We start from the raw sequence: 22050 nt of genomic DNA, 5'->3' as shown, positions 1-22050 counted from the left end.
CAGAATGAGATTTGAGAGGTTTTGCTTGTTTACTCTTTGAATAAATTCAAATAATGAAGCCCCATGATGAGTGAGTTGGAAGACTATAAGCATTGCTTTTTTTAATCTTCTTAACAAGAAGTGTACACCTTACGTGTTATTTTTGTAGCATACTTTAAATATTCAAATGGTATGCTACTTATAATGAAAATATTTGGTTTATTTTAGTTTTTCAGATTTCCTGGATATTTACAAGTTAAATAACTAAGTAAGTCTCCAAAAGAAGTGCACCACAACCATGCTCGAATACAACTCATATTTTTACTTAAAAATAGGAAGGAAATGTTCTTTTTCATTATTTATTAAATTGAAACATAATCTTCCACAGAACACAAAATAGTAAACCAGCTATTAAATGCTTCTATTTGCTTTCACACTTTTTCAAAAAATCCCATGTTATCCTGAATTTAATCATTGAGATATTGCTAATGAATAACTTTATTTCAAGAGCTTGAGGAGGTTAAATGTGCTTTACAAATTCAGATTCATTTTTGTTGTCTATTATTTTGAAAGGTGGAAAGTCAATCTATAGCGACTATGTAATAACTTTATACATGTACTAGGCAAAGCTGTTTGTGTTTTGTTTTCAAAACATCAAGTAAATTCACTTAATTTTTTTCTACTTTGTCAAATTCTGAGTTTGAGAATTCAGGGAACTGCAGTATAACAGGATAAAATAGGAGCAGAATAGAGATGTATTAAGAAACACCTCTTGGATATTTCACCTACTGATCATTTTCTTAGTTAAGTAAGAACGCTTTCTTCCCTATCTCTCAGGACCAATGATTGCCATTTTAAATAAATTTGTAAATATTCTGTTAACATGTTCACTTGTCTTGGAGGCAAACTGCATGGCTTCTCAAACTTCAGCCTTTGTTACTTAAGTCATTTTAGTGTCTGAACAGCTGGATGAGAACACAGAAACTGGCATGCAGCCACTTCCCTTTAAAGCCCCAGTGAAAACAATGCCACAGCATTGAGAAAAAAGCAGGAACTGCTGATTTGTTCTACTAAATGGACAGCTGCTATTGAAAATCTTCCAAGCTGTCTTTCTATTGTTCCCTTCCCTGCCAATTCACTGAACTCACCTATAAGTTATTGCCATTTTGGAAGTGTGCTTTTAGTCTGTATCTTAATTCATCACCTTCAAAAAATTCAAATTTACATAACTGCTGCAATTATAGAGCAAACGATTCTTGTATAATATTCACCTAGATTCTTCAAATGTTAATCTGTTACTACGTCTTCTCCTGTGTACTCTTACGTTGCAGACATGATGCCTTTTATTTCTAAATGTTGCAGTGCTTCCTTTTTTTAAAAAAAACCAAGGAAATTCTTTCACTTAGCCATAACAGGGGTGTCCAATCTTTTGGCTTCCCTGGGCCACACTGGAAGAAGAATTGTCTTGGGCCACATATAAAATACACTAACACTAATGATAGCTGACGAGTCTCAAAAAAAAAAAAAACTCATAAGGTTTTAAGAAAATTTAAAAATTTGTGTTGGGCCGCATTCAAAGTCATCCTGAGCTGCACGTGGCTGGAGGGTGGCAGGTTGGACAAGCTTGTCATAGGACATTATCAAAATCAGGAAATTAACTTTGATACACTATTATTATTTAGATCTAAAAACTTTTTCAGATTTCACCAATTAATTTCATGTCCATTATTGCAAAAGAATAACAACAACACGCCGGGCACGGTGGCTCATGCCTGTAATCCCAGCACTTTGGGAGGCCAAGGCAGGCAGATCACAAGGTCAGGAGATGGAGACCATCCTGGCTAACACAGTGAAACCTTGTCTCTACTAAAAATGCAGAAAATTAGCTGGGCGTGGTGGTGGGCGCCTGTAGTCCCAGCTACTCGGGAGGCTGAGGCAGGAGAATGGCGTGAACCCCGGAGGTGGAGCTCGCAGTGAGCCAAGATCGCGCCACTGCACTCCAGCCTGGGCGACAGAGCGAGACTCCATATCAAAAAAAAAAAAAAAAATAGAATAACAACAACAAAAAATCTTTTTGTTTTCCTTGTTTAGGATCCAAATCATATGCATTTAGGTATTGTATCTATTAAGTCTCCTTTAATCAGGAAGAGGTCTGTCTTTCATGACCTTGATAGTTTTGAAGAGTGCAGGCCAATGTCCTTCATGTTTTTTATTCCAATACTCTAGAGTAGATACATTACAAAATAACCAGGCATATAAAGTCTTATTTGTACTTTAACTATCAATTCTATTAAGTATCTGTGAACTTTCCTTTAAACCTTAGTTTATATAGGCAGCTTACTCAACTGTGTAGCAAAATTATATGTTGTAGGCATCAGGGGTAATAATTTAAATAAGACATCGTTACTGCCCTTGGGCATGGCTATATACAGAAATATATTTTTAACTGTGGTACATAACATCTCTTTTCCTCCCAAATTTTGAGCAGTAGATAAGTACAATTCTTTGTTTGCTTGCGGATTTTTTTGTTAGGTAGTTTATTTTGTACCTCAACCTAACCTCAATCTTCCACTCATAAAAACAGTAGAAATTCTCATAGTAAATACATTAGCTGAATGTTCTGATATGAGGGAAGAAAAGTTAAACTGTTAAATCACTATGCATATTTGCTCAACAAATTTTGCAGTCTAAGCTTTTCAGAGATAGGAGGTATTTTATTTTATATCCTTGACTTAGACACTGACTCGTATCTTTTCCCCTTTACTCCATGCTTAGTAGTTAAATACGTGGTAAAGGGAACAGATAGCTTACAAAGAAGATGTAATTTCATCTAAAGACAATCCATGTTAGCTACATTTGAAAGCTGTCACATGAACTTCAGAGAATATAATCTTATGTAAAATAAGCGTACATAATAGTTTATTTAAATATATATTTATAAAAAGATCATGCCGTTGACCTCTGCTTGCATATTCCATTAAACTGACACTAAAATCTGTAGATTTTGAAATTCAATGCCAATATTAGTTGTTTTAAATCATAGGTAACTTAAAATATATGAATTAAAATGAGGGATATTATATAAAACAGTAGCCACAGAGATGATTTTGTATATTCAAATATATTGATAGACTATATAGATTCAAAGATAGATAATTTCATAAAAAATAAATATGAATCACTTTAAAAAGTAGAAAAAGACATTTTGTAGCAAGGAGAAAAATAGTATCAGAGTGCTTATAGGAATATTATCCTGGTTTTCCTGTTTACTTATGAGATTCTTCTCTTCTCAATAGCTCATACAATTTAATACATGTGGGCAGCAAGACTAAGAATTCAGAATACACATAGACGATGCTCTCCATTCATTAAAACACTGATGATATTTTACAGCAATAATTTTCAAATCTATGACATAATACCAAACAGTAAAACATCCTTTAATTGCTATAGCAGTTTTAAATAATGATTGAAAAGAAATCTTAAATAGGATTAATGTAGTTAAACATTACTTTCTACTCTGAAAGAAACAGAAAAAAGTAAGAGCACCAACACCAGCCATCATGTATATTAATCGCCCAAAATTTCATACTTGGAAAATATTGACACATTTGTTGAGAATTTTTAACCACTCTCTAGGGGAATTTGAAAGTGTACTGTGGTTAACTTCTAGAAATTTCTTCTTATCTGTGACTCAAAATTGAAACTACAAGATTCTGGACAAGTTTCATTTTTTCATTTGCCCTGCTATATACCAAAAGAGTTATTCCAATATCAGGATCCATACGTACTTTCAATTCTGGAAAATTTTTATTTATGATTTTTTCAATTATTTTGGACCCATCAGTTTTCAACCCTTTCATTCAGAAATCTTAGTTAAAAAATTAAGGTGATCTATATATTTTTCCAGTCTTCTCTTTCATGGCTTCCCTTTTTTATATATATTTTAAAATCTGTTTCAGAATACTGCTACACCTGACCTTTCTGCCTACTAACTTATTTTTTGGCTGTGTTTATTCAGCAAAAAACTTGTGTTAATATTTTTACTGTATTTCAACACATTTTTTTTCAAAATACCACAATAGTTATTCTTCATAAATGTCTACTTATTGTTCCCTGGTTCATTTTTTTTTCGTAATTTCTAACTAATAACCAATACAATGAACTTGATCCCTTTGTTTATTGAGGGTATTAAATGTATTTAAGTCAGTATAGAGTACTCTAGTATTCCTAGTGTGCCAGTATGAGTGTTAACACTTACTGGAGTGTTTCTACCAATGGCATTGTGCTTCCTTGGGTAATCTATGTTTCTGGGTTAAGCACTCACTTTCAGAATGAGAATTTCTTATGCCTTTGTATGCATTCTGGATTATGACTGCTTCCAAGCCATGCTATTAGCATCAGCTGCAACTTTACAGAACCATATCAGTCCTGTGTATTGGGGGACATCAATCCTTGCTTATGTTGTGGCTTTACAAGTACTTTGGTTTATTATGTTGCTTTTGTTATTTTATTGTTTATATAGAAATGCCTTTCCATTTCTCCTTTTTTTTAGGAGGGGGGTGGTAAAACTATCTGTGTATGTGTGTATCTAATATATATTATACTGTATTTCTGATGTTAATGCAAGCACGTGAAATTCAATGTAATAACAGCAAATTGGAAGCTTGTCACAGTTGATATAACTATGTTGTCTTACGCTCATATTTCAGTCTGGAATTGTCATAACAACATGCTCCATGGCTTGTGTAATTTTTACAAAGTTATTACCAACAGCACTCATGTGTCAAATTTTCTTCCAAATATCCTCATGGCTGCTGTTGCTTTTTTTTCTTTTCTTTTCTTTTTCTTTCTTTTTTTTTTTTTTTGAGATGGGGGTCTTGCTTGATTGCTATGCAAAGGAAATATTATTAGAGCTAAAGAGAGAGAGATAGACCCTGACACAATAATAGTTGGAGACTTCAACATATCACTTTCAGCATTGGACAGATCTTCCAGACAGAAAATCAATAAAAAAAATCAGACTTCATCTGCGCTACAGACGAAATTAATCTAATTGATATTTACAGGATATTTCATCCAAGAGCTGCAGAATACAAAATCTTTTCCTAAGCACATGGATCATTCTCAAGGATCGACCATATGTTAGGTCACAAAACAAGTCTTAAAAACATTCAGAAACATTGAAATAATATTAAGCATCTTCTCTAACCACAATGGAAGAAAACTAGAAATTAAGAACAAGAGGAATTTTGGAAACTATACAAAAACACTGAAATTAAAAAATATGCTCTTGAATGACCAGTGGGTCAGTGAAGAAATTAATAAGGAAATTGCAAATTTTCTTGAAACAAATTATAACGGAAACACAACACTCCAAAACCTATGGGATACAGCAAAAGAAGTACTAAGAGGTAAGTTTATAGCTTTAAGTGTCTACATCAAAAAGGAGGAAAAAATACAAATAAACAGTCTAACTAAAAATCTTAAAGAATTAGAAAAGCAAGAGCAAACCAAACCCCAAATTAGTAAAAGAAAAATAAAATAATGAAGCTCAGAGCAGAAATAAATGAAAGTGAAATTTTAAAAAATACAAAATATCAATGAAAAAAATTGGTTTTCTGAAAAGCTAAACAAAATTGGTAAAACTTTAGCCAGACTAAGAAAAAACAAAGAAAATCCAAATAAAATCAGATATGAAAAAGGAGACATTACAACTGATACTGCAGAAATTCAGAGGATCATTAGTGGCCCCTATGAGCAAGTATATGCAAATAAATTGGAAAATATAGAATGGATTGACAAATTCCTAGATACATACAACCTACCAATATTTAATTAGGAAGAAATCCAAAACCTGAACAGACCAATAACAAGTAAGGAAATTGAAGCTGTAATACAAAGTTTCCCAGTAAAGAAAAGGTCAGGACCTGATGGCTTCAATGATTCATTCTACCAAACATTTAAAGAACTCCTAATATCAATTCTACTCAAATTATTCCAAAAAAACAGAGGAGGAGAAAAAAATTACAGGCCAATACTTTTCATGAATATTAATGCAAAATCCTCAACAAAATACTAGCAAACCAAATTCAAAACTATATTGGAAAGATCATTCATCATCACCAACTGGGATTTATCCCTGTGATGCAAGTATATGTCAACATATGCAAATCAAACAGTGTGATACATCATATTAACAGAATGAAAGATAAAAACCATATGATTATTTCAAGGGATGCTGAAAAAGCATTTGATAAAATCCAACATCCCTTCACGATAAAAACCCACAAAAAAATTGGGACTAGAAAGAACGAACACCCACATAATAAAATCCATATAAAACAGACTCACAGCTAGTGTCATACTCAATAGAGAAAAAATGAAAGCCTTTCTTCGTGATCTGGAACACAACAAGGATGCCCACTGTCACAGCTGTTATTCAACATACTACTGTAAATCCTAGCTAAAGCAATCAGACAAGAGAAATAAATAAGGGGCATTCAAATTATAAGGGAAGAATTGAAATTATCTCTATTTGCTAGTGATATGATCTTATATTTGGAAAAACCTAAAGGCTCCACAAGAAAATTATTAGATCTGACAAACTAATTCAGTAAAGTTGCAGGATACAAAACCAATATACAAAAATCAGTATCATTTATATATGCCAACACTGAACAATGTGAAAAAGAAATTTAAAAAGTAGTCCCATTTACAATAGCCACACATAAATATCTAGGAATTAGCCAAAGAAATGAAAGATTTCTATATTAAAACTATAAAACACTGATGTAGAAAATTGAAGAGGAAACCAAAAATATGGAAAGATATTTCATGTTCATGGATCGCAAGAGTGAATATAGTTAAAATGTCCATACTGTACAAGGTAATCCACAGATTCAATGCAATGTCTATCAATATACCAATGACATTCTTCACATAAATAAAGAAAAACAATCCTACAATTTATATGGAATCATAGAAGACCCAGAATAGCCAAAGTTATCCTAAGCAAAAAGAATAAAATTGAAGAAATCACATTACATGACTCCAAATTATATAACAGAGCTGTAGTAACCAAAATAGCATTGTACTGACATAAAAACATACACATAGACCCATGGAGCAGAATAGAGAACTCAGAAACAAATTCACCCACCTACAGGGAACTCTTTTTTTTTTTTTTTTTTTTTTTTTTTGGGGACAGAGCCTTGCTCTGTTGTCCAGGCTGGAATGCAGTGGCATGGTCTCGGCTCACTGTAACTTCTGCCTCCCGGGTTCAAGTGATTCTCCTGCCTCAGCCTCCCCAGTAGCTAGGATTACAGGCATCTGCCACCACGCCCGGCTAATTTTTTGTATTTTTATTAGAGACGAGGTTTCACCACGTTGGCCAGGCTGGTCTCGAACTCCCGACCTCGTGATCTGCCTGCCTCGGCCTCCCAAAGCGCTGGGATTACAGGCATGAGCCACCGCCCCTGGCTGAACTCATTTTTGACAAAGCTGCTAACAACATACACTAGGGAAAAGACAGTCTCTTCAATAAATGGTGCTAGGAAAACTGGATATCCATATGCAAAAGAGTGAAACTAGACCCCTACCTCTTGACATATACAAAAATGAAACCAAAATGGATTAAAGACTTAATTTTAAGACCTCAAACTATGAAACTATTACAAGAAAACTTTGGGTAAAATCTCCAGGACATTGGTCTAGGCAAAGACTTCTTGAGCAATACCCCATAAGCACAGGCAACCAAAGCAAACATGGACAAATGGGATCACATCAAGTTAAAAAGCTTCTTCACAGCAAAGGATACAATCAAAAAAGTGAAAAGACAATTCACAGAATGGGAGAAAATATTTTCAAACTACCTCTCTGCCAAAGGATTAATAGCCAATATATATAGGGAGCTCAAACAACTCTATAGGAAAAAAAATCTACTAATCTGATTAAAAATGGGCAAAAGATTTGAATAAACCTTTCTCAAAAGAAGACATACAAATGGCAAACAAGCATAGGAAAAGGTGCTCAGCATCACTGATCATTAGGGAAATGCAAATCAAAACTGCAATGAGATATCATCTCACCCTAGTTAAAATGGCTTCCAAAAGACAAGCAATAACAAATGCTGGTGAGAATGTGGAGAAAAGGGAACCCTGGTACACCGTTAGTGGGAATGTAAATTAGTACAATCACTATGGAGAACAGTTTGGAGGTTCCTCCAAAAACTAAAAATTGAGCTACCATAAAATCCAGCAATCCCACTGCTGGGTATATACCCCCGAAAAAGAAAATCAGTATATTGAAGAGATATCTGCACTCCTATGCTTGTTGCTGCACTATTTACAATAGCTAAAATTCCAAAGCAACCTAAGTGTCTATCAACAGATGAATGCATAAAGAAAAATGTGGAGTACTATTCAGTCATAAAAAGAATGAGATCCAGTCTTTTGCTACAATATGGATAGAACTGGAGATCATTACATTAAGTGAAATAAGTCAGGCATAGAAAAACAAACACCTCATGTTCTCACTTATTTGTGGGATCTAAATATCAAATCAATTGAACTCATGGACACAGAGAGTAGAAGGATGGTTACCAGAGGCTGGGAAGGGTAGTGGAGGCTGGGTGGGAGATGGGGGTAGGTTTGGTTCATGGATACAAAAACAAAAAAATAGAAAGAATGAATAAGGCCTACTATTTGACAGCACAATAGGGTAGCAATAAGTCAATAATAACTTAATTGTATAATTTTAAATAACAAAGAATGTAATTAGATTGCTTTTAACAGAAAGGAGAAATGCTTGAGGGGATGGATACCCCATTTTCCATGATGTGCATATTTCACATTGCATGCCTGTACCAAAACATGTCATGTACCTCATAAATATATACACCTACTATGTACCCACAAATATTTTTTGAATAATAATAAAAAGAAATACAAAGAATATAGCAATGGATAGGACAAGAGCTCATAGCATCTAAAAGACATGAGTTTGTATCATACATCTACTCATAACTTCTGTCTTGCTTTGAGTAATTAGTATCTCTATGCCTTATCTACCTCTAGGTGAGATAAAATCATATTACAAAAGTTTTAATCCGTTAGGCATTTGATGAATTTTACTTCTCTTTCCTAACAAATCAGTTGTATTTAATGTTGATGAGCCTTTCTTGATGCTATTATTTAATATCAAGTATTCCTGCTCCACGTTTTTTACCTGATGTTGTAGATAATAAGTGTGACAGTGATATGACTCATTCTCTTTTGTGGAGACTCTGCATGTTTTTGCTTTGTTTTTGTTTCATTTTTCTGTGTGAAACCATTTAAAGGTTTTTATCTTTATCGTCACTGTTCTAACATTTCATCACTATGTGTCTACGTGTGGATAGTTAACATTTATCCTTTTTGCCATCCAACTTGCCGGTGGTCAGCAGTAAGTCTGGGAAATTTTCTTCCATGATTTAGTTACTTTTCCTCTTTACATTTATTTTAACCTCTCTCTCTGGAAATCTACCTAGAATAACAATAGTATATCTGGATCTCTTTTCACCAAGGTTCGGTTTTCCCTCTTATGTTCCAGCATGTACCCATTTCACTTGCTTTGGTAAAGAATTATTTGGTTCAATATTACTTGGTAATTCACCAATTATCAGAGAACATTCTACTCTTCAACCACACCATATTAAGTGTCTCCCCTCCCCCTCATCTGGTGAAGGAGGGGAGTGTTAAATCTCCTGTTGCTTAATTTTAGCATTTTGCTTTCTATGATATTTATTTCCCTCAGATATTTGATAGTTCATGTTGGTGTGCTCAGAATTGTTTTGAGCACTTCTGTCTCCATCTCCTGCCTAATCTGTTTACCACGGTCTGCTCTGGCAGAGTGAAGGGAAAGGGAACATGTTCCTGATACAGTTGTCCTCTGACTGTCAGAGATTCCCCGCCTCTTCTGGGTGTCTAAAGGCAATATGAGCTCTGCTGTTCATTCTCAGCCTCAGGACTAATACTCATGGCCTTCTGCCAAGTATTCAACACAAATAAAAGAAGTGGAGAGGAAAAAAAAAAAAAACTTTGCTGCTCCAAAGTTTTCTAATTAATCACCCTGATATACACTTCAAGACTCTCTTCCATTTCTTCATGAAGTGACCCCATGCTTAGAGCTTCCACAGAACCATTCTTACCTATAAGAAGCCTCTCTGCATATTTTGGGATCTAATTTTCTTTGCCAATGCCATTCTACCTACTTTCCTCTTGTTAGAAGTCTCTCAACATTTCTAGACTACTGGTGGTACCATTTCTTATTTTCCACTGCTTTAATGACTTTTTCCCTTGCAAGGCTCTTTTTCCCCATGTCTTGAAAATTCAATGCAATAGGAGGTAAGAAATGCATGCCCAATTCACCATCTTGTTCTCAAGCCCCATTAATCTATTATTAGATGATTCCTTGCAATCTATTCACCACTTCATATGCACTGGCAATTTGGAAAGCTATTCCCATAATTGGTAAACATGTTCTGTTAACAGATAATGTCTTGAGTAGTACTGCCAGAGACCATTTTGCCCAGAAGTGCCTAGAAAACAATCTCCCTTATCACCTCCCCAACCCACTCCTAACTCCCAAGGACGGCCCTTAACAAATGACTGGTTGGTGTGCAGGTATGAACATCACAGTTCCAGCATCCCATAGCTGGGATAATGTGAAAGCATGCATTTTTGAAAAGTTTTACAGGATTTGCTTGCAAGATTAATATTTGGTTGTCCATTGTGGTAACTGGCTTAAGAACATACTCATTATCAGCTGCCTTGCCTTCCCTGTCTTACACATCAATGCCTCTGCTGGTGTTCCCTGTCCCACCCAAGTAAATTCTTTGCGTTTAAATCTCCGACTTCAGGGAAACAGAAACTAAACTGTCACCATGCAGCAAATAGCCATTGGCTTATGAAATGTGTCCAATCAGCATCCATCTAAGTATTATTTGAATAAAGTAGCCAACCAGATACACATAGAGAAAGAAATCATTAATTTTTCCCCATGTATTAGGATTATTTGAATCTGAACATAAAAACAACACATATGGAGGGGAGCAGCCAAGATGGCCAAATAGAAACAGCTCTGCTCTGCACCTCCCACCAAGAAGGATGAAAACTGCGAGTGAATTCTGCATCTTCAATTGAGGTACCAAGGTTCTCTCATTGGGACTGACTAGGTGGTTGGCGTGACCCACAGAGAGCAATAAAAAGCAGGGTGGAGTGAGGGCCCACCCGAGAGCTACACAGCGCAAAGGGAGCTCCCTCCTCCAGCTAAGGGAGGTGGTGAGGGATTGTGCTAGCCTCCCTGAAGATCATGCTTTTCCCACGGATCCTTGCAACCTGAGGATCAGGAGGTCCCCACGTGAGCCCACGCCACCAGGGCCTTGGATCCCAAGAACACTGCTGTGCAGACTCACAGAGGCTGCGCAAGTGGGCAGAAACTCGAGCAGGCACTGAGACACAGGAGTATTTGCATACTCTGGCTCTGGGAACTCTAGTAAGGCAAGAGATCCATCCACTCCAGTGGGAAGGGGGCTGAAGCCAGGAAGCCAAGCAGCCTCACTCCCATGGAGCCCCACAAGGTAAAACTCACTGGCTTGGAATCCCAACTGGCCAGCACAGCAGGCTGGAGATTGCCTAAGAAGACTTAGTTCCTGGGGGAGAGAGACAGTCGCAATCACTGCGGCTCCAGTTGGCCTTTTTCCCCTACTGCTGGTGCCAGCGAGACTGGCCAGTATGGACCAGGAGCAATTCCCCACAGCATAGCACAGTATCTGAAGCAGGTAGTGGCCAGAATATTTCTTTAGGTGGGACCCCAATCCACTCTTTCTCACTGGGCGGGGCCTCCCTACAGGAATTTCAGCATCCCCAGCCAGGGGTTTATGGACAGAACTCTGATATCCCTGAGAGGAGCACCTAGGAGGAGGGATGGCTATGGTATCGTGGATCAATCGTCTTAATCTTTTCTGCCTGCTGGTTTTTGAGAGTCAGAACAGGTTGGACGAGGGGGAATCCCCCCAGAGCAGCACACCTGCTCTGCCGAGGGGCAGCCGGACTGCTTATTTAGGTGGGTCCCTGATCCTGCTCCTCCTGACTGGGTGAGACCTCCCAATGGGAGTCTCCAGACACCTCATACAGGTTCATTCTGGCTGGCATCAGGTCGGTGCCCCTCTGGGACAGAGGAGGGATCAGGCTGCCATCTTTGATGGTCTGCAGCCTCCACTGGTGATACTTCCAGTTGCAGGAGGGACCCAGGTGAATAGGGTCTGGAGTGGACCCCCAGCAAACTGCAGCAGCCCTATGGAAGAGGGGCCTGACTGCTAAAAGAAAAACAAACAGAAAACAACAACAATAACCATGAAATCAACAAAAAAGACCCCACAAAAACCCTATCCAAAGGTCGGCAGCCTCAAAGATTAAAGGTAGATAAACCCATGAAGATGAGAAAAAAATCAAAGCAAAAATGCTAAAAACTCAAAAAGCCAGAGTGCCTCTTCTCCAAGTGATCTCAACACATTTCCAGCAAGGGCACAGAACTGGGCTGAGGCTGAGATGGATACATTGAAAGAAGTAGGATTCAGAAGATGGGTAATAACAAACTTCACTGAACTAAAGGAGTATGTTATAACTCATTGCAAGAAGCTAAGAACCACGATAAGACATTACAGAAGCTATTAACTAGAACATACAGGAGCTATTAACCAGAATAACCAGTTTAGAGAGGAACATGAATGACCTGATGGAGCAGAAAAACACAACATGAGACCTTCACAATGCAAACACTAGTATAACTATGTAACTTCTGTTAATAGCTCAATAGACCAGGTGGAAGAAAGGATATCAGAGCTTGAAGACTATTTTGCTGAAATAAGGCAGGCACACAAAATTAGAGAAAAAGGATAATATAAAAGAACAAACAAAACCTCCAAGAACTATGGGATTATGTTAAAAGACCAAACCTACGACTGATAGGGGTACTTGAAAGAGATGTGAAGAATGGAACCAAGTTGGAAAACACACTTCAGGATATTATTCCAGAGAATTTCCCCAACCTAGCACAAGAAGCCAACATTCAAATTCAGGAAATCCAGAGAACTCCGGTAAGATACTCCATGAGAATATCAACCCCAATACACATAATCATCAGATTATCCAAGGTCAAAATGAATGCAAAAAATGTTAAGGACAGCTAGAGAGAAAGCCCAGGTCACCCATAAATAGAAGCCCATCAGACCAACAGCAGACCTCTCAGCAGAAACCCTACAAGTCATAAGAAATGGGGGGGGTGGTGGCTATATTTAACGTTTTTAAAGGAAAAAAATTTAAGTCTAGAATTTCATATCTGGCCAAACTAAACTTCAGAAGCAAAGGAGAGATAAAATCTTTTTCAGACAACCAAATGTTGAGGGAATTCATCAACACCAGGCCTGCCTTGCACAAGCTCCTGAAGGAAGCACTAAATATGTTTAAAAAAAAAGTAACCAGCCACTACAGAAACACACTGAAGTATACAGACCAGTTACACTATGAAGCACCTACATAAAGAGGTCTGTAAAATAACCAGCTAGCATCACGATGACAGGATCAAATTCACATATAACAATATTAACCTTAAAGGTAAATGGGCTAAATGTCCAAATTAAAAGACACAGAATGGAAAGCTGGATAAAGCATCAAGATCCATAGGCATGCTGTATTCAAGAGACCCATCTCACAAGCAAAGACACACATAGACTCAAAATAAAAGGAAGTAGAAAAATTTACCAAGAAATGAAAAGCAGAAAAAAGCAGGGGTTGCAAACCTAGTTTCTGATGAAACAGACATTAAACCAACAAAGATAAATTATCATTACATAATGATAAAGGGGTTAAATTCAACGAGAAGATCTAACTATCCTAAATATATATGAATCCAATACAGGAGTACCCAGATTCATAAAACAAATTCTTAGAGATCTACAAAGAGACTTAGACTCCCACACAATAATAGTGGGAGACTTTAACACCCCACTGTCAATATTACATCATTGAGACTGAAAATTAATAAAGATATTCAAGACTTTAACTCAGCTCTGGATCAAGTGGACCTGATAGATTTCTACAGAATTGTCCACCCAACAGAATATACATTCTTCTCGACACTACATGGCACTTACTCTAAAATTGATCACATAGTTGGAAGTAAATCATTCCTCAGCAAATGCAAAAGAACTGAAGTCATAACAGTCTCTCAGACCACAGCACAATCAAATTAGAACTCAAGATTAAGAAACTCACTCAAAACCATACCATAACATGGAAACTGAACAACCTGTTCCTGCATGACTCCTGGATAAATAATGAAATTGAGGCAGAAATCAAGAAGTTCTTTGAAACCAATGAGAATGAAGTGACAACATACCAAAATCTCTGGGATGCAGCTAAAGCAGTGTCAAGAGGGAAATTTATAGCACTAAATGCCCATATAAAAACCTAGAAAACCTCAAATTGACCCCTTAACATCACAACTGCAAGAACTAGAGAACCAAGAGCAATGAAACTCCAAAGCTAGCAGAAGAAAGGAAATAACCAACGTCAGAGCGGAACTGAAGGAGACAGAGACACAAAAAACCCTTCCAAAAAAATCAATGAATCCAGAAGCTGGTTTTTGGAAAATATTAATAAATAGACCACTAGCTAGACTAATGATAAGGAAAAAAGGGAAGAATCAAATAGACACAACAATAAAAAATGATAAAGGGGATATCAGCACTGACCCCACAGAAATACAAACAACCATCAGAGATTACTATAAACACCTCTATGCAAATAAACTAGAAAATCTAGAAGAAGTGGATAAATTCCTGGACACATACACCCTCCCAAGACTAAACCAGGAAGACGTTAGATCCCTGAATAGACCAGTAACAATTTCTGAAATTAAGGCAGTAATAAATAGCTTACCAATCCAAAGAAAGCCCAGGACCAGATGGATTTACACCTGAATTCTACCAGTCATACAAAGAGGAGCCTTATACCCTTCCTTCTGAAACTATTCCAAACAATTGAAAAGGAGGGACTTCTCTCTAACTCATTCTATGAGGCCAGCATCACCCTGACACCAAAACCTGGCAGAGATACAACAAGAACAAAAAGGAAACTTTAGGCCAATATCTCTGATGAATATCAATGTAAAAATTATCAATAAAATATGGACAAACTGAATACAGCAGCACATCAAAAAGCGTATCCACCACGATCAAGTTGGCTTCATCTGTGGGATGCAAGGCTGGTTGAACATATGCAAAAATCAATAAACATAATCCATCATATAAACAGAACAAAAGACAAAAACCACATGATTATCTCAATAGACACAGGAAAGACCTTCAATAAAATTCAACATCCCTTTATGTTAAAAACTCTCAATAAACTAGGTATTGAAGAAACATACCTCAAAATAATAAGAGCCATTTATGACAAACCCACAGCCAATATCATACTGAATGGGGAAAAGCAGGAAGCGTTCCCTTTGAAAACCAGCACAAGACAAGGATGCCCTCTCTCAACACTCCTATTCAACACAGTATTGAAAGTGCTGGCCAGAGAAATAAGGCAAGAGACAGAACTAAAGGGTATTCAAATAGGAAAAGAGGAAGTCAAATTGTCTTTGTTTGCAGATGACATGATCCTATATCTAGAAAACCCCACCATCTCAGCCCAAAAGGTTCTTAAGCTGATAAGCAACCTCAGCAGTCTCAGGATACAAAATCAATGTGCAAAAGTCACAAGCATTCCTATGCACCAACAACAGGCAAGCAGAGAGCCAAATAATGAATGAACTCCCATTCACAATTGCTACAAAGAGAATAAACTACCTAGGAATACAGCTAACAAGGGAAGTAACGGACCTCTTCAAGGAGAATTACAAATAACTGCTCAAGAAAATCAGAGAGGGCACAAACGAATGGAAAAACATTCCATGCTCATGGATAGGAAGAATCAATATTGTGAAAATGGCCATACTGCCCAAAGTAATTTATAGATTCAAGGCTATTCCCATTAAACTACCATTGACATTCTTCACAGAACTAGAAGAAACTATTTTAATATTCCTATGGAACCAAAAAAGAGCTCATATAGCCCCGACAATCTTAAGCAAAAAGAAGAAAGCTGGAGGCATCACACTACCAAACTTCAAACCACACTCCAAGGCTTCAATAAACAAAACATCATGGTACTGGTACAAAAACAGGAATGTAGACCAATGGAATAGAATAGAGAAACTACAAATAAAACTGCACATCGACAATCATCTGATCTTTGACGAAACTGACAAAAACAAGCAATGGGGAAAGGATTCCCTATTTAATAAATGGTGCTAGGAGAAGTGGCTAACCATATGCAGAAAATTGAAACTGGACCCCTTCCTGACACCTTATATGAAAATTAACTCAAGATGGATTAAAGACTTAAATGTAAGACCCAAAACTATAAAAACCTTAGAAGAAAATCTAGGCAATTCAGGACATAGGCACGGGCAAATATTTCATGATGAAATCACCAAAAGCAATTGCAACAAAAGCAAAAATTGACAAATGGGATCTAATTAAAGAACTTCTGCACAGCAAAAGAAACTGTCATCAGGGCAAACAGGTAACCTACAGAATGGAGAAAATCTTTGCAGTCTATCCATTGGACAAAGGTCTAATATCCAGAATCTACAAGGAACTTACACAAATTTACAAGAAAAAAAACAAGCCTATTAAAAAGTAAGCAAAGGACATGAACAGACACTACTTAAAAGAAGACATTCATGTGGTCAACAAACATATGAAAAAAAGCTCAACATCACTGATCATTAGAGAAATGCAAATCAAAACAAAAATGAGATATCATCTTATGCCAGTTAGAATGGTGATTATTAAAAAGTCAAGAAATAACAGAGGCTGGCAAGGTTGCAGAGAAATAGGAATGCTTTTACACTGTTGGTGGGAATGTGAATCAACTTAACCACTGTGGAAGATGGTGTGATGATTCCTCTAAGATCTAGAACAAGAAATATCATTTAACCCAGCAATCCTATTATTGTGTATATATCCAAAGGAATATAAATCATTATATTATAAAGATATGTGCACACATATGTTCTTTGCAGCATTACTCACAACAGCAAAGACATGGAATCAACCCAAATGTCCATCAGTGATAGACTGGATAAAGAACATATGGTACAGATACACCAAAGAATACTATGCAGCCATAAAAAGAAATAAGATCATGTGCTTTGCAGGGACATTGATGGAGCTGGAAGTCATTATCCTCAGCAAACTAACACGGGAACAGAAAACCAAACACTGCATCTTCTCACTTATACCTGAGAGCTGAACAATGAGAACACATGGACTCAGGGAGGGTAACAACACACACTTGGGCCTGTTGGTAGGTGAGGTTGAGGGAGGGAGAGCATCGAGAAAAATAGCTAATGCATGCTGGGCTTAATACTTAGGTGATGGGTTGATAGGTGCAGCAAACCACCATGGCACACGTTTACCTATGTAACAAACCTGCACATCCTGCACATGTACCCTGGAACTTATAATAAAAATTTTTAAAAAACACATATTACAAGAATTTTTATTGTATGGCATACAGCGGAATATTCAAATATATTTTATAGCTTAATATTTGGGTAAAAAGTTTACATAATAAAGGATTCTGTGATATAATTTTAAGAAATACTACATACTATATTATTTTCTTAGAAATTTGCAGTGCATATGGGCATTTTAAACGTGAAGAGAAAGTTTATAATAAAAACAAAACAAAATGAAAATCTGAAGTTGGTATTTTGAAGTAATTCGCAGTAATTTTGAAGTTAGTACTTTCTCAAACTAAGTTGTCCAGAGAATCTCTTTCTAACATAATTCCTATCAATATCTAATGAAATCAGTGGTTTGTTGAGCATAATTTTCATCAATAGCACTGAGAAAAGATGGTGTGTTTATCTGTGGAAAGCTAATCGACTTATACAATTACAAAAATATGTAATTTTGCTTTTATTAGCCCCATAATCTTATCAGAAAATTATGGAGACATCAGTAATTAATTATTAAATCTCAGCTATAATGGACAGAAACATTGCTTAAAAGAGTGCCTTTTAAATTTGATTTTTAGTTCAGATCAAATTTTATCGCCTAGACTTGTAAAATCTTTGATCTTTTTATTTTGCTCCAGATTCTTATCTATTAACACATTTATAACATAAAGTTGAGGTGACAAAAATTGGTGTCTATGTAAGCTCGATTAAAGACCATAAATAATTATAGGATTCATTCAAAAGAGAGGTCCCTTGGATTAGGTGAATCAATCACATTATTAGATAACTATAGTTTCTTTCTTTTTTCAAGGATTGAAATATAGTCATCAAATACTCATTACTTAATAGATATAATGTAATTATCAAATAATGGCATTTTTGAAGATTTTTATGTGTTTGATAGCAAAAGACATTTAAATATCCGGCTTTTTAAAAGGGGACATACATGTCATTGGCTTCTAATTTCACTGTACCTTGAGCACTGATGCATAACTGGACTATGGATTTGTAGACTTGCTTAAGTTATAAGAATTTATAGAGTTATTAAAATCTGCAATTTTCAGTTAATGTGCCAATTATTCATTAAAGATGCATTTAACATTTAATTTTATTCTTCTTGATGAGAGAGTTATTTTTACTCTCTGATCTTCAAACTTCTATCAGAAATCTCTTCAAAGTACATTCCTAATCATATTAACCCCTCACAAATCTCTTGTTATTTTGATGCCAATAACATTGTATTCTCCAAATACACCTCTAAGTTTCCCACCCATTTTAATAAAGACCTAGTTTAAATGTTGCTTCATTAATGAGGAAGGTCTTAATCCCACCCCACTCATGTTAATCTTATCTTTCTCTGATTTTTTATTTCTACTGAAATGATAACAACAACATCACTAGTTGTTATGTGCAATAAATAAGTTAATGTATATGAAGTACCAAGCATGGAGCTTGGCAGATATTAAAGTCTAATAAATTGTAGCTATTAATATGTCTTATTATTATGGCACACAATCTGCTTTGTGTTAGAGTTATTTATGAACAAATATGTCTCTTCCTATTAGCATATAAACTCATTGAGGGCAGATTTTACATGTAAATCCATCTTAGTATCTCCCAAGGTGTTGACGATTTCTCTGGTATACATTCCTTATTTGTTTTACTTTTAATTCATAGTAAATCAATGCAAAAAAATGAACTTACATGAATTCAAATGTAATATCTCTGTCTTGAAGAGAGCAGAACCAATACATTTTTAAATTCACAAACATACTGAATATGTACTATGTGTTTATCATATTGTATGTTCCATAGCAATATTAGAATAGGGTTAGCTGTGACAAAGTTATTTTTTGAAATATTTACCTATGTGTGCATGTGTCTGTGCACATCTACCTGCAATAACTTTGTCTCCCAAATTGTTGGTCACTACTCAAGCTAGTCTTTGGCTGCCACTGTCCAATGGAAGGGAGGCCACGGCAGACATTTCACTAAAACTGCTTGGCTTGGCAAGAGGGGGCAGAGGCTGAGTAAGAAAAGAAACATACATATTAGATGCTGGAGAGTGTTTCTTAAAAGGATCTTGAATTATGCCTCACTTAAAGCACATTCAAGTTTTGAGGAAGGTGAGGGGAATAGAACTTCCAAATAGAATACAATTTACAAAGAGTAGAAATCTGTGCTTTGTTTATCATATGACTTAGAGATCTTCAAGACTCCAGCCTTTACTACACTTCAGCATCGTGTAACAGCAGACAAATTAGGCAAAGAGGTCAAGTTTTACTAGAAAGATCAGTTTGCTCTGAGACAGTTTGTGAAGCTTTTTGTGGCTGCAGCGTGACAGAAGAGAGAAGCAAGATTTTTCTCTGCTCCCAGGAAAGGCATAAAAGTAAGCAAAGAAAAAAAAAAGGATTTGAAACAAGCAAGGAAGTTAGGTGGTAGATTCTAAGGATCTCATTGTTGAAATAATGTCATGTTGTAGTAGAAAACAGCATTAATCTTACAACTACGATTTCAGAGATAGCATGACTATCTTAGGTAATATCAGGATGAAAAATGATTACAGCTGAGAGCAATACAGAACGATATTTATTGCAAAGGATACATGAGATGGACACATGACAATCTAGAATCAGATAATTCCTCTCTGAATACATCTTTGATTCTAAATGAGCCTGTCATCTACACCTGTAGTTAAATACCACCTTAGAAAAAAAAGGAGAGGGAATGTAAAACCTTTCCTAATGTAGAAAATTATGGATTGAATTTAAAAATTACGGAGTTGCCGGGCGCAGTGGCTCATGTCTGTAATCCCAGCACTTTGGGAGGCCGAGGCAGGTGGATCACCTGAAGTCAAGAGTTTGAGACCAGCGTGGTCAACATGGTGAAACCCCACCTCTACTAAAAATATAAAAATTAGCTGGGCGTGGTGGCGGGTGCCTGCAATCCCAGTTACTCAGGAAGCTGAGGTAGGAGAATCGCTTGAACCTAGGCGGCGAGGTTGCAGGGAGCAGAGATCGCACCATTGCACTCCAGCCTGGGTGACAAGAGTGAAACTCCACCTCAAAAAAAAAAAAAATTACTGAGTTAACAGTTCTACAGAAATGACTAGGTTCAGTTATGTTCTACCAGACCGAAGAGACTCAATAAATGTAGGTAAAAATTAAAGTTTTTGTTTTGGCTTGTCATTCTCTAGGCTGTACAGAAAGCATGGCACCAGCATTTTCTCTTAGTGAGGCCTCAGGAAACTTTCACTCATGGAGGAAGAAGGTGAAGGGGAAGCAGGTACATCAAATGGTGAAAGTGGGAGCAAAAGAGAGAGGGGAGCAAGAGTGAGGGGGGAAAGCGCCACACTCATTTTAAACAACCAGCTCTCACATGAGCTACCAGGAGGAGAACTCACTCATAACCATGAGGATGGTGCCAAGACATTCATAAGGGATCTACTGCCAAGACCCAAACACTTCCCACTAAGCCCACCTCCAACATTGGAGGTCATATGTGAACATGAAATTTGGAGAGACAAAACATCCAAACCATGTCATTCAAAATAGCTAAGATATGAAAACAACCTAAGCATCTTTCTACAGATAAATAAATAGAATGTTTATATATGTTTATATATATATATATATAATTAGTCATTGTTATTCAGCCATAAAAATAAGAAAACCATGCCATTTGCGACAATATGAATGAAACTGGGGTATTTTATGTTAAGTGAAATAAGCCACTACAGAAAGACAAACAATGCATGATCTCACTGATACATGGAACCTAATAAAGTCAAACTTTGCTGGGCATGGTGGTTCATGCCTGTAATCCCAGAAATTTGGGAGGCCGAGGTGGGCAGATCACTTGAGGTCAGGAGTTAGAGAGCAGCCTGGCCAACGTGGTGAAACCCCATCTCTACTAAAAATACAAAAAATTAGCTGGGTGTGGTGGCACAGGCCTATAATCCCAGCTACTAGTGAGGCTGAGGCAGTAGAATCACTTGAACCTGGGAGGCAGAGGTTGCAGCGAGCTAAGATCATGCCACTGCACTCAAGCCTGGGCTATGGAGCGAGACTCTGTCTCAAAACAATAAATAAATAAATAAAGTCAATCTCATATAAACAGAGTAGAGGGGTGCTTGCCAAGTGTCAGGGGGTGGGTAAACTGGTAGACGTTGTTAAATTATATGTATTTTCTATTATAAGTTTTGGAGATCTAATGTACAGCATGGTAACAATATTTAACAATAATGTATTGTACACTTGAAATTTGCTAAGAGAGTAGATCTCAAGTGTCCTCACTACAAAAAAGAAAAAAAGGTAACTGTGAGGTGATTACTGCATTAATTTGATTGATTTTGATAATCATTTCACACCGTATATGTATATTGAAACAACATGTTGTATGTCATAAATATATGTGTGCAAATCAGTTTTATTTCTGTCATCAAACTTATGAAGT

General features: G+C 36.5%; 1 long non-coding RNA gene across 1 annotated transcript in view, besides 1 other annotated feature; it reads right to left on the bottom strand.

The window, feature by feature from the left end:
• LOC105373153 (uncharacterized) overlaps positions 1–22050 on the bottom strand; it is a 350749-nt gene that overhangs the window by 235753 nt on the left and 92946 nt on the right. The window lies entirely within an intron of this gene.
• Positions 11443–11944: an enhancer, noted in NCBI's record as "H3K4me1 hESC enhancer chrX:33847535-33848036 (GRCh37/hg19 assembly coordinates)". NCBI's record gives its function as "activates a minimal SCP1, AML or CMV promoter by ChIP-STARR-seq in primed H9 embryonic stem cells {active_cell/tissue: H9 hESC(primed)}" and the evidence as "EXISTENCE:reporter gene assay evidence [ECO:0000049][PMID:30033119]".

Source organism: Homo sapiens, chromosome X, assembly GCF_000001405.40.
Source record: "Homo sapiens chromosome X, GRCh38.p14 Primary Assembly".
NCBI classification, from domain to species: Eukaryota; Metazoa; Chordata; class Mammalia; order Primates; family Hominidae; genus Homo; species Homo sapiens.
This window is presented reverse-complemented; position numbering and strand designations above follow the sequence as displayed.